Below are 13,099 nucleotides of genomic sequence, written 5' to 3' on the forward strand. Positions count from 1 at the left end.
TAGTCCTTCATCTTGCTGGAGCATGGGGAAGCTCTGAGTAACATGGGACTATAGAGTGCAAGAGGGTTGCTGATGGTCTGCGTCCTGTGCCCTCCTCATTCCTGGGCATTCTTGACAAAGGCTCCCAGCAAGTGAGGGTACGCAGCAGCTGTAGACACCAACCTGATGAATATCTCATTGTGGGAAGGGCACCATAGCAGGAGTGGAGCTCCAGGGAAATACAGAACCCAGGTCTGGGAGGTGCTGATGTGAGAGGCCCAAGAAACCTCGGCTTTGCACTTGCTGAGTACCATCTGCACCTCTCAGGAGGGAGAGCGCCGGGCTCAGGAGGTCCTTGCCGAAGCAAGGGAGCTTGAAAAGGGGGCTGGGGTGGGCTCTGCCATTTTCAAGGGCTGACAGGGGTCCCCTCTGGAGGTACTTGGGGCAGTGCTGCGGGCCGTGGCTCCTGAGTGACAGAGTCAGCTCTGCGCCCCACAAGACCGCTCCCTGCCCAGAACTCACTGTGATCATGTGCTGGGTCCAGATGCTCACGCAGCCTCCTGATGGGGGCATCAGGTGTGCTGCCTGCCCAGGACGGCCCACAAGAGTCTGCCCTGCCCTGCCCTGCTATGGAACAACTCCCATTCTGCCTTTGGGGAGAGGTGTTCATTTAAACCATGACTGGGCTGGCCCCCATGGCACAATTACCACAGAGAGTCTGCCACTACCCATGGCTGAGAGCTCTAGTTCTTCTCTGAAGCCACCAGGACAGATGAACAGTGGCTTCCCCCTTTTGGCCGACTCAGCTGCCTTTCATCAGCTCATCTGCTCCTAGGATCCACTCTTCCTCTGGCTGGCACCTGATCTGAGCCCGAGGCTCACACCTCTGCCCACAGGCCCCAGCAGCTGCTTCACCTCCGACTCCATCCCCCACCAAGCACTGCCCCTCACCAGCTACTGGGGTGCCACTAGTGCCCCTACATGGTTCTCCCTCTCCAGACCCTTGGGTCCAGCTCTAGCTTCCTTTGGGAAGCCACACCCCAAGACCCCAGCCCTGCTCTAGGGCCCTGTATCCCCGACTTCCTGCATTCTTCTCCCTCCTTCTGGGAACATGAACTTGCCCTGCCAGCCTGATGACGCCTAGAGGGCAGGACACCAGGTCCTGGACCATGGCAGGCCTGGGAGTGTCTGCTGCCGGTGATGCTGGAGCTGGTGCCCATGTCCACATGATGTCCATGGCACAGTGGCCACCTGAGGCTGGGCGCATCTGAGTGGTGGCTGCAGAGTGGGGCCCTTACCTCTGCCTGAGTGAAGTTCACCAGGTCCTCCCCTGTGCTGTCATGCTGGGCGTGGAAGAGCCGGCCTAGCTGGAGGCCCCGCACCACATGGTAGAGCAGGAGCTGGGGGTCGGTGCCTGCTGGCTCTGAGGCTCTGGCTGCTGAGTGGCTGGACGGACTCTGCCAGAGGCAAAAGGGGCCATCAGCCTTTGTGATCCAGGCCGAGGCCTGTGGCTGCAGAGAGGCAGTGTGACCCTGGCATGCCACCCTCAGCTCTGCCCCAGCCCCCTGCACCCAGGAATGCCCACAATCAGCACACCCACCTGGGCAGTCAGTGTCTGGCTGCCCTCCAGCGAGTGAAGCACTTGCTTCTGGGCCGTCACTCAGAAGCTAAGTGTCTGGAGGAAGTATGTTCACCGTCAGAGAGGCCAAAGTGGATGCCTCTGTCCAGGGCCCCTGGGGACAAGGGTGTTGGGTCCAGCTGGCCTGAACTGGCTCCCCACCTCAGGGTGCCCCCGTGGGCAGCAGAAACCTGGGGCTCGGCCCTCAGCACCCACCTCTGTGTGAGAACAGCACGAGCCCACCATCCAGCTGGGTCTGCATGAAGCTGCGCACCTCAGTGCCCGGCACCGCCCACCGCACTACCCACCCATTGCTGGGCTGCTTAATGGTGTACACCAGGTCCTTGGGCCCAGAGTAACCATCCATGCTCCTCAGAGCCTCTGTAGGGATGGGCACGGTGGCCCCCTCCCACGTCTGGGGACACAGGCCTGTGAAGGTTCTGCCCTGCCACACTTACCCACCCCTTCCTCCCCGGCCCTGGGCTGCCACCAGGGCTCCAACCCCACTGAGGCTCAGGCCCTCAGGTGGCATCAAGGCTGGCGCTGCTGTGGCTCCCCTGCACAAATGGCCTCCCTGCATTCACCTTCCCTGTCACCCCAGGGAAGGCCACCCTCCAGGCCCAGCATCCCTGCTCTTCATCTGTCCTAGTCCTGTGTGTCCCTCAAGACCAGCTTGTGTACCCAACCCAGGAAGGCCCTAGCTCTTACCCTCACCAAGTTCTCACCCCCAGAAACCCCCAGCGCTGACCAACAGTGCTCCTTAATCTGTCTCACTGGTGGGGCAGCAGTCTCCTTTCAGACCCTCCATGTGTGCCTGGCAGGGGCTGGGCACAGGTGGGAACAGTGATTTTAGAAACGAGCACTCCTTCCAGCTAAGGGAGGGGTGGGAGGCGCAGAGAGCTGAAGCCTGATGGTTGGCACTGTCCTGCAGCACAGAAGCAGTGCTGGGATGGGCCCAGGTGCTTCCAGAGCAGTTACGGGCCCTCCTCGTGTTGGGCAAAGGGGGCCCCTTTTCAGGCCTCCCACTAGCAAGCAGAACAGGCACCCGTTCCTGAGGTCCTGGTACCAGTCTTGCTGGGTCAATTACTTGTGGGCAGTGCTGCAGTGGGACTCACATGCCCAGAAAACAGCCCTCTGGCATTCCTGGGCTTCCTCCCCTGGCCGCAGGGAGCCCTCAGGCCGAGCCTTGGCAAGAGGGGCCATACTGTGGGAGGCAGGGCCCCATCACTGGGCTCCCGGAACAAACACGGGTAGATGGCACCACCTGGTGGCCGCACTGCCACAGAGCCATCCCAGCCTGTGGTTCCAGGGTGCTGTGTCCCACTCTTCTGTGGCCTCCGCACCATGAGGCCACCCCCTACAGGCACATCCTAGACCACCAAAGCCCCCCGGTGCCCCATGTCAGAGACAGCCCAAGTCAGCCCTCTTGCGGAACCTTCAGTGGCTTCTGCTGACTGGGGAGGACGCGCCCCAGAAGCTGGGGTTCAAAGCCCTGCCACTTGGGCTTAGTAAAGCCATGCCCTTTCTGTTCCACCAGAACTACTTTTGCAATCATGGAGAAGTTCCATCCCATGTCTGGGCCTCAACTTCCACCTTTGCCAAATGGGGGCCCTGCTCTGCTGTGGACAAGGGGCAGGAGTTTGGGAAGCCAAGCTGAGGCCTTCACTTGCTGGGGTGAAGGTGGGAAGCTTAACGGTCCCACCCTGACGCCAGCCCTTAAGGGCTTGTAAGTGATTCTTTCAGGTGTTCTGGTCCTAAGCCACAGGAGAAGGAACAGCAGAGCCACCCTTGGCTGCTCAGAAGTCTGCCTGCCGTACTTGCAAATGTCCAATAACAAAACCTCCCGCCTGTGTTCTATTTCAGCACAATCTCACATCTCTCCTTCCAACAACTGCGTGAGGCACACAGTAGTGTCCTCATTTTGCAGAGGAGGAAACTGAGGCTCAGAGGGGGGGAGATCTGTGCCGGGAAGTAGGGGACATTGGCCTCTTTCTCAAAGCAGACATTGGGGGTGGTCCCAGGAATATGCTCACCTGCAGGCCTGAGTTTGTATGAGGTCGGGGGTTGGCCATTGACAGGCAGGATGGTGACAGTGAAGGCCACAGGATGGCTCTGGCGGTCCATCTCAGAGGCATTAGCCATCAGGACAAAACCGTCAGTGTCTTGCTCCCATCGTGCAGGTACTGGATCAGATGCTCTTCCACCTAGGGGCAGGCCCAGGGCTGGCAGTCAGACCCCAGCAGCACCCTTCATGTTCTGCCTTTGGGTGCAGGAAGAGACTGACCCTTTTAGGGCCTCAGCTTCCATTGGTGGAAAATGGGGACCATAAGTTCTGGTTCCCAGAGGAGTTGTGAGGAAGAAAGGGGATATTTTATTTTATTTTGAGACAGAGTCTCTCGCTCTGTTGCCCAGGCTGGAGTGCAGTGGTGTGATCTCGGCTCACTGCAACCTCTGCCTCCCAGATTCAAGCGATTCTCCTGCCTCAGCCTCCTGAGTAGCTGGGACTACAGGTGCGGGCCACCACACCCGGCTAATTTTTTGTATTTTTAGTAGAAACAGGGTTTCACCGTGTTAGCCAGGATGGTCTTGATCTCCTGACCTCCTGATCTGCCCACCTCGGCCTCCCAAAGTCCTGGAATTACAGGCATGAGCCACAGCGCCCAGCCCGAGATACAGCATCTAAAGCATAGGTCTTTCTGAAATGTGACTCCCTGTCTCCTCTCTGTATAACCCCTGGACTGGGAGTCCCCGGGGCTCCCTCCACTCTGCCCCCAGAGCTGGGCTGCAGCCCCTGGGCCTCTCTCACAGCCGTACCTCTCTCCAGCAGAAGGTGCTGAGGGTCCTGGCTTGAGGCCCATCCTCCTTCTGCAGGGCCCCATGCCGGGGTGGCTCCAGCACCTGCAGGCCAAGGCCCGGGAGAGTGGGGAAGTAGGACCTGGCAACGCGGAGCAGTGGAGGGGCCAGGGTGCAGCTGCGACTGTGCCCCCTCTACTGCTGAAGTTTTGTGCCCCCAGTGGGGATGACAGCAGGCAGCACCTCCAGCTCCACGTGACGTCCTCAAGGGTAGCACCCAGGCCGAGGCCACATCCAGCGAGAAGGCATGGCTCCGGGCCTCAGGGCGGGAGTGCAGGTAGAGGATCCTGCCTGTGTCCACTGCCTCTTGGGAGAAGCTCTGCACGGGGTCCAGGCTGGGTGGCTCATCTGCCAAGATGCCACGCAGCACCATCACCAGGTAGCCGGCACTCGGTGGGCTCTTCACTGAGAAAACGATGTCTGCTGGCGGCACTGCCTCCTGGGCTACCTGGTTAACAGAGGTCATGAGGACTCACAAGGGAATGCGCAGAGGGGTCTCAGAGGGGCCCACTGTGGCCCTAAGCAGCCAGAACAGCCTTGATCTTGCTCCACTTATTTCCCCAGATACCACTGCTCATTTAGTGACACACACACATGTGGGTTCACACACACAGCAGCCAGACATGCAGCTGGTCATATTTTTTGTTTTTTTGAGACAGGGTCTCACTCTGTCACCCAGGCTGGAGTGCTGTGGTGTGATCACAGCTCCCTGCAGCCTCAACGTCCTAGGCTCAAGGGCTCAGCCTCCCAAGTAGCTGGGACCACAGTCATGTGCCACCATGCCTGGCTAATTTTTAAATGTTTTGTGTAGAGATGGGGTTTCACTGGGTTGCCCCAGCTGGTCACATGTTAATACCCACCCCACACATGGTTACGGGGTGTCGGTCACACAGCTTGAGATGCACTCCCTCAGGGAAGTGCATAATCACATGTCCCCAGACTCAGTGACACAGACATATGAGTTCATCAGATGCCGATGCAGTCACACAGGTACAGGTACACATGCGTGTGTGCACACGCACACAGGCCCCCTGCTCAGGATCTGTTCAGGCCTGTGGCTGGTTTGCTGGCAGCATCCTCCCCAACCCCTGCTATTACCACCCAGGACCATCAGAGGGTGCCCTGCCCCACCCCACCCCACCCCTCCTAGAGGCACAGGCACCCCCAGCACAGGCCCTACAGAGCTCACACCCCAAAGGCCACATGGGCTCCCTCACCTGATGGGCCATCCACAAGAGGCTAAACTGCCTCCAAACTCACATTCCTGTTTTGTGCCTTCGGCCGGAATGTTCCTTTTGCATGGAATACCACTCCCCATTCTCTGCTCCTAATGGCCTGTACTCTTCAGAGCCCGGCCCAAACACTGCCTCCTCCCATGAGGCCTTCCTGATGCCAGATCTGCTGGCTCACCATGGGCCCCAAGCTCCAGATGCAGACCAGAAGGGTCTCCGAAATAAGCAGTGTGGAAGAGTAAGGCTGAGAGCGGGCAAGGACTGGCCTGAGGTCACAGGGCATGTCAGATCTCTGGAAGGCCCGTGGCTGCTCTGTGAGGTTCCTGGGTAAGCAGAAGCCCTTGACAGACCCTCCTGGTCCTGGTCTGGGCTCTGAGAAGAGAGCGGGGTACACAGGGGTCTGAGAGGCAGCGGCCTGTCTCCACGGCCAGCAATCCCAAAAGTTCAGGACCCGTGATGCCCTCCCAGGGAACTGACTGCAATGCAGATTCTCGGGCTCCACTTCAGAGATTCTGTAGGGCTGGGTGGCGTCCAGGAATCTGCATGCTCAGCCATGCCATGGACATGAGTGGGCACCAGCTCTAGAGGCACACACCACTCCCAGGAGGATGGGTGTACAGCAAGCTCCCCAGAAACTCTTGGGAACACAACATATATGGGAGCATATCTGAGGCACGTGCACACACGCAAGCTGGGACCACCACAGGTACAGCCCAAGTCACATGTGTTCCCGGCATGGAGGCTGGGAGGAAGGCCCTCTACCTGGTCCACACCCCGCTCACCACCTCCAGCTCCTCACCTCCAGCTGGTCCCTTCTGATCTCAGCTGCCTCTCCCTGGAAGATGTAGATCTTCTTGTGCTGGGCCAGCTTCAGTGGGGCTACTGGGCCCTCTAGGGCAATGGTCACTTGTAGGGTGGCATCTGTGTGCACTGGTCCCACATCCATTGAGAAGGCCAGGGTGTTGCAGGAGCTGAGGCTGCCATTGTGGCCATAGGGAACAGCCCCAACCAGCAGGTCCTGCTGAGAGAAGGCTGTGGCTGGCTGAGTGGCTTGGAGCAACTGTCCCCAGTGAGGGCTGTCTGTGACGTGGTAGTGGGCCTCATCCCTACTGCAGATGTTGAGGTTGGTGCCCAGGTGGAGCTCGGCCATGTTGATGGTACCCTGGCCTCCTTGAGGAACCATGAGGCCGGAGCCATTGGCCACACAGAGGTAAGGCTCCAAGGCCTGCACCTCCAGCACCGTGATGGCCTGGTGCTGCCCATCGGACACCTGCAGCGGGATCCAGCCGTGGTCAGCCTGAGTGTGTGAACAGGACTCGCCTCTTCCTGAGGCCCCTCCTGGATGAAGCGGCAGATGGGCTGCATGGGCTCATCCGTGGCCATGATACTGCCAGAGAGGAGGTCCTGGTGGGTCAGCACCAGCTGGGCCTCAGCAAAGCCCGAATCAGCATTGCTGAAGGCCATGTTGTCTGTAGTCAGCAGCCGCCACCTACCCCAGGCCACATGGAAGACGCAGCTGATGGTCTGCATAGGGGCGTGGTCATTCACAGGCTGGATGGCCACTCAGAAGACACCCCATACCTCCTCCCAGGCCACGTCACCACTGCTCTGGTCCTGGTGGCAGCAGGAAATGGGATATCATCTTCTGTGATCTCGGAGTCATCATGCTGCTAGACCAGCTGGCCATGCATCAGGTCTCCATTGGTGAAGGATGTCACCATAGTGATCTTGTCCTGTGTCCCACGCCAAGTCAACCTCCCATGGCGGGGCTGCTCCATGACCTCATAGAGGTACCTGGCACTGTTGAGACTCTTGATGAAGAGCTGGTCAGCAGAGAGGACACACTCACCACCCTCGGGCACCATGAGGACAGGCATGTCTGGGTCACCGCCAATATGGATGGAGAAGGTACAGAGTGGGGAGAAATATGGTGGAGCTGTGACATGGAAACAGAAGGTGTCCTCCACTGCCACTGAGGCACGTGCCATGGCCCCATAGGTCACCTCTGCAGCCTGTACGTCATCCTGGGTGAAGCCCTGACCGTCTGACATCATCGTGCCCTGTAGTTGAAGGTTGCCTTTCCTGGGAGCCTGAACCACCTCACAGTGGAAGGTTGGGGGGCTTGGGCCTGCCTCCTCCAGGGTGGCCTCCAGGTGGGCTGTGGTGAGGGCCTCCTGCTGGGTGTTCTGAGTGTGCAGTGGCTCCAGCTGCAGCATCCACACAGTGGCTCTCTGGATGGTCACTAGGAAGGACAGATTGCTCAGGATTTCCCAGCTCACCTGCACCTGCAGATCCAGGTTCTCCACGGTGTCCTCGGTGTAGTGCTGTGGGTCAGTGCTCAGGTATCTCACGTGGCCCTGCTCCACATCCTGCTGGTGGAACGCCTGTGTGACCCACCACTCAGCATCCTCCACCCCACCAGCCCCCTGCTTCTGCAGCTCCCTGAACGGCAGGCCTCCGGTGACATGGAACAGCACGGTCACATCCTGCCCCACGGCGCTGGTCTCCACCAACAGGTTGGTAGGCAAGATGGGCATGGCAGAGCCCTGGGCCAGATGCAGCCCTGTGCTGCGGTGGATTTGTATGGCCAGCTGGACAGCCACCACCTTCAGCATGGCCGGGGGGCTGGCCTGCAGTCCATTGCTGACCCGGAATGTCAAGTCCTGTGTAGGGCCACCGCAGTGGACATAGACTAGGCTGCCGGCCTCCAACTCCCAGCAGGAGAACTCAGTCACCGGCTCCCCAGGCTGGTCTCGGTGCTCCACGGGGAGGCCAGAGGGGGTGCCAAGGAGCTGGAAGGTGAGGCCCTCACAGGTAGAGTCCAGGTCATAGGCCTGGAGAACCTCAGGCCCCAGAGGCTTGTGTGTGTGTTCCAGGATCACCATAAGGCTGCCATGTGGGAAGATGATGTGGGGTGGGTCATTGACAGGGTTGACCTGGATGGGCAGGAGGTCTGTTTGGCCCCTCCGCAGGCATGAGGGCATAGGCACCCAAGCCATCACTGACACCTCCAGCACCAGCTGGTCAGAGGTGTCCTCAGGGCCATCGTGGATGAAGCGGGCCTTGCAGTTCACCACGTCCAGAAGGGTGAACATTTTTCATGCCTGGGCACCCAGGACATCCAGCTCGAGCTCGCTGTAGTGTGCCCCTCAGGTCACGCTGAACAGCACCTGGGATTTACGCAGTTCAGCCTCCATCAGTGCCAGCATGGGCTGCACATGCCACCACTCAAGCCAGGCTGTGCCACCCTCGGTCACCACCACTGCACTGATAGCAGCTGGATGAAATTGGCAAAGACAGGAGGTAGCCCTGGCTCAGGCACGCATGGCTCAGCTAGCTCCACGGACAGCCAAGCCTCGGGAGCCAGGGTGGAGAAAGCTTCATAATGGCCATAGGCATTGTCCTCATACTCCTCCACCTCCTCCAGTCTGCAGCCAGCCACCATGTTGTGCGTCAGCAAGGCTTCCCACAGCCCCCGCCTCTAGCCATTGACACTGAGGTCTTCCATGCAGCCAGCCCAGCAGGGAGGCATTGGCAGCCCCTGGTGTCAGGCCTGAGCGGTGTTCCTGGAGGTGACGAGAGGCCTCTGCACCAGCTCCCCAAGAAGGAGACTGTCACGTGGCTCCAGGTAGCTGAGGACTCCTCGGTTCAAAGTACATGTGGGGTACTGGTCCATGGAGATTTCTAGCTGGTGAATGTTGATGTGGATGCTGACCTTGTGGGGCTGTGCGTCAGTCACAGGCACACTGTTGAGGAGCAATACAGTACCCTGGCCCTTCTCAACCATGGACCACAGGTGGCCCTCAAATATGTCCACATGGATGAAGTCCCCATGCCAGCCTGCTGCCTGGAAGGCCAAGGGTGCCTGCCAGCTCTGTGTGGTGAGTGTAAACTCCAGGGTTCCTTCATCCTGAGTGCCCCAGGCAGGCAAGGCAGCCAGAGAGTGGGACCTAGAGAAGCCCAGGGCCACATCGTCATTGGCAGAAAACTCTTCAGCACAGCCCTCATGCTTATTGGGGGTCAGAGGCTGGAGGAGTCTGCGGCCATTGAGAGCGGCTGCATGGAGGCAACCCCTCAGGGGATGGCTGGTTCCCCTCAGGTAGGGCAGGCCAAGTCTCCCAGTGTTCCCAACAAAGAGCCCATAGGGGACTTCTAGGGGGGCTCCCAGGACTACAGAGGAGGCATTCAGAAACCCATTGACTGACAATGTGGGCCAGTCCTCTGAGACAGTCAGAACTGTGGTGTGGGGGACGGAGTCACTCAGTAGAATTTCTGCTGGGGTCTGCAGCCTCAGCTCCTCCTGGCCCAGGACAAGCCTGACCTGAGGAGAGACGGGGAATGGGAGATGGGGGGCAGCACTTTGAATCCATCATTTCCCTTATAAAAGCACAGTGGGTTCCCCACAGGGGGCCCCAGAGCAGAAAACCTAGGACAAGGGCCTCTGGTGCCACTCCTCTTGCCTTCCTGCCATCTCTTTATTCATCCTCCAAACACTCACCAAAGGAAACTCTGGGCCAGGCCTGGATGGGCTCTGGGGACCCTGGTGTGAATCAGATGTGGTCCTTGCCCACAAGGAACTGACATATAGCAAGATGCTCTTCTAGAAACCCAACCTGTATTTTTAAATTCTCCTCCTCTTTCCTTGAGTGAGAAGCACCAGAAATATTGTCTTGGAATCTAGATTTCACCCCTGGAATAATGGGTAACTGAGAATCCGTTGATCAGTCCCCCTAAGTTTGGCAAAGTTTCTCGAGGTCACTGAAGGAAGCCAGGCTAACTGTTCAGGGACAGGGAGCCCAGGCAGATGCTCTGTGTTCTGGAAAAAAAAAAAAAAAAAAAAGCTGCCTGACCTGTGGTGGAGGAATATCTCAAGGAGAGATGAAGGACATAGTTCTGTCACCATGACATTGACACATGAAATGGCTCTGGTATGGTGCTCCCAGATGCTAGAATAGGTGATGGCAGAGTATGGGAACTGCAGAACCAGAACACTAAGAACCATGATCTTGGAGTCCTGGTATGGTGCATCTCTGTAGGGATGTGGCATCACTACCTGCACAGCTCAGCAGCCATCAGCACCAGACTGCACCACATAGGTGTTCAACAGTGACACCTTGTGGCAATGAGCAGCAATGACAGCAGCAGACTGACCAAGCCCTAGTCCTCTTCCCACTGGGGTGTGGAAAGAGATGGCTGCCCCAAATTTGTTAATTTGTTTTTTTTTTTCCTTCTAAAATAGAGATGGGGTCTCATTGTGTGGCTCAGGCCAGTCTTGAACTCCTAGGCTCAAGTGATCTTTCCACCTTGGTCTCCCAAAGTGGTGGGATTATAGGCATAAGCCACTGCACCCAGCCTGCCCCAAATTTGGACTAAGACCCTGGGTTCTTAAACTCTTCCTGGTATGGGGTAAGACTCAAGTAGGAGCCACAAGACTCCTTGATAATAAAGCTTGTGGTGTCTTGAAGGATGAAATGGAAAAATGAAGCTGAGGCAGTACTGGTGCTGTTACTCTCATGGACAGACAGTGGTGCTGCAGATAAATTGGTGCAGTGCCACCAGGATGCGCAGGGGTCATGGGGGCCCAGGAGGGGGTCTCGCCGAGGAGGAGGGGATGCCCACACTGAAACTTCAAGGAGAGACTAGAGTTCGGCAGGTACAGGGAATGGGTGGGTCACACACCTGGCAGGAGGAGTGTGATGACCAAAGGCCTGGCTGCAAGTGACCATAAGATGGCCAGGAACTGAAAGCAGTTCAGTGTAGTCAGAGCACAAAGGGCCAGTGAGGGCTTGTGGTGGGAAACATGGTTGGAAGGAGCCGGTGGGCAGAGCCAGTTCATGAAGGATTTACCATTTCTGAGCTGCTGCTGCCCATCCCACAGTGGAGAACTTGAGACCCCAAGAAAAGTGACTTACACAAGGTCAACAGCCAGCTGGGGTTCACTCAAAGCTAGACAAGGAATCTCGCCCCAATCCCAGGGGGACGTCACTCACCTGCAGGTGTCCAGAGTAGAGCTGCAGCAGGAGGTGGTCAGCTGGGCCTGCTGCCAGGAGAAGGAGGGCTTCGGGTTGGGACATGGAGAACTGCAGCTGCAGGTCTATGTCAGTCAGAGCCATGGCCACAGTCACCTCCGGGTGGTTCTAACCAAAGAAGGAAGCTGTGTGAGAGAGGGAGCTGTGGTCAAGGCTCAGATTCTTGCCTGGAGGAGGCGAGGTGCTGCAGGGAGGGATGGGTGGGTTGCAGAAAGGGGTCCGTGCTGGTGCACCCTCATGGTTCTGCCATACGGTGCTGCCTCTGAGCACTGCCCAGATCCCAGCATTTCCTTGGTCCTGGCACCAGAAGGCACAGCCTCACCTTGTGTCCAGCCCAGACCTTGACTTGGCAGGAGGTCAGACCCAGAAATTCCCAGCAACTCAGGTCTCCTCCTTGGAGGTTCCTGGAGCCAGAGGCCTCTGCCAGCTCTGACTCACCTCCCCTGGGCCCCAGAGGAGTCTCCCTCCCAGGTCTGGCTCCCCGACCTGGCCCAAAGGGAAACATCACTGGCCTGATCACCTGGCTTGGTGGTCACAGCCCCGAGGAATGGAGTTTCTGGAGAATCACCCCCAGGCCAGATCGATCCCTGCTCAGATTCCTTCTCCTAAGTGCCCTTGTGCTTGGGCTCCTGTGCAGCACCTGCTGTGCCATGCCCCACCTCCATGGGTTGGCTGGGGCCACGGCTGGGATCTGGGGGTGATGTCACTGCAGCCCACCTATCCCTGCTTCTCCCTCAGGCCATTCTTCCAGCTGCCATTGAGGGTGGGGGCAGGAGCTTATTGGCCTGAGTTTGCCAAGGAGTAAAGGCTCTCAGGCCAGATGGGGACCATATGCAGTGTCAAACCAAAGTGGGCCCACACTTCCTCCACTACCCCTGCTGTTGCTTCCTGCTAGAGAGCTATTCACAGTCCCCGCTGAGCAGTCAGATCCGGCCCCATTGTTTCCACCGTGGCCAAGGAACCAGGGATGAGAACAGCTCAGCTCCCAACCTCCCCAGGCCACCACTCAGTCTGAGGCTGAAGACAGGGCCTAGAAGGGGCTGATGGTCTGCTGAGCAGGCCAAAGAGGGCCTCCCCAGGCAGAAGGCCATGTCTGGGCTTGCCTGGGGTTAGTGGTTCTTATGCAGGGCCTGTTCTGTCCCACAGTGGGACTCCTCCTCTTTTGAGTTGCTGCTTCCTCCAGGCAGTTTCCCCAAATTAGCCTCCCTGACTTCCAACCCGATGCCATAATTTCTGGTCTATGCCTTTTGTGGTGATAAGAGCCAAATATAACTTTAACTTTGCCTGCAGATGTCCAGGGCTGGGGGGCAGACAAACACAGGTTAAAAACTGTGATTCATCCCTGTTGGGTTTCCCTCAAACCCCAAGAACAAGCACAGGCTGATGGC

General features: G+C 58.1%; 1 pseudogene; it reads right to left on the bottom strand.

Moving 5' to 3' along the window:
• Positions 1 to 1,579: 1,579 nt before the first annotated feature.
• LOC102724191 (chondroitin sulfate proteoglycan 4-like) lies at positions 1,580 to 12,216 on the bottom strand (annotated as a pseudogene).
• Between the last annotated feature and the right edge of the window lie 883 nt (positions 12,217 to 13,099).

The sequence above is a fragment of the Homo sapiens genome, chromosome 15 (assembly GCF_000001405.40).
Source record: "Homo sapiens chromosome 15, GRCh38.p14 Primary Assembly".
Taxonomy (NCBI): Eukaryota; Metazoa; Chordata; class Mammalia; order Primates; family Hominidae; genus Homo; species Homo sapiens.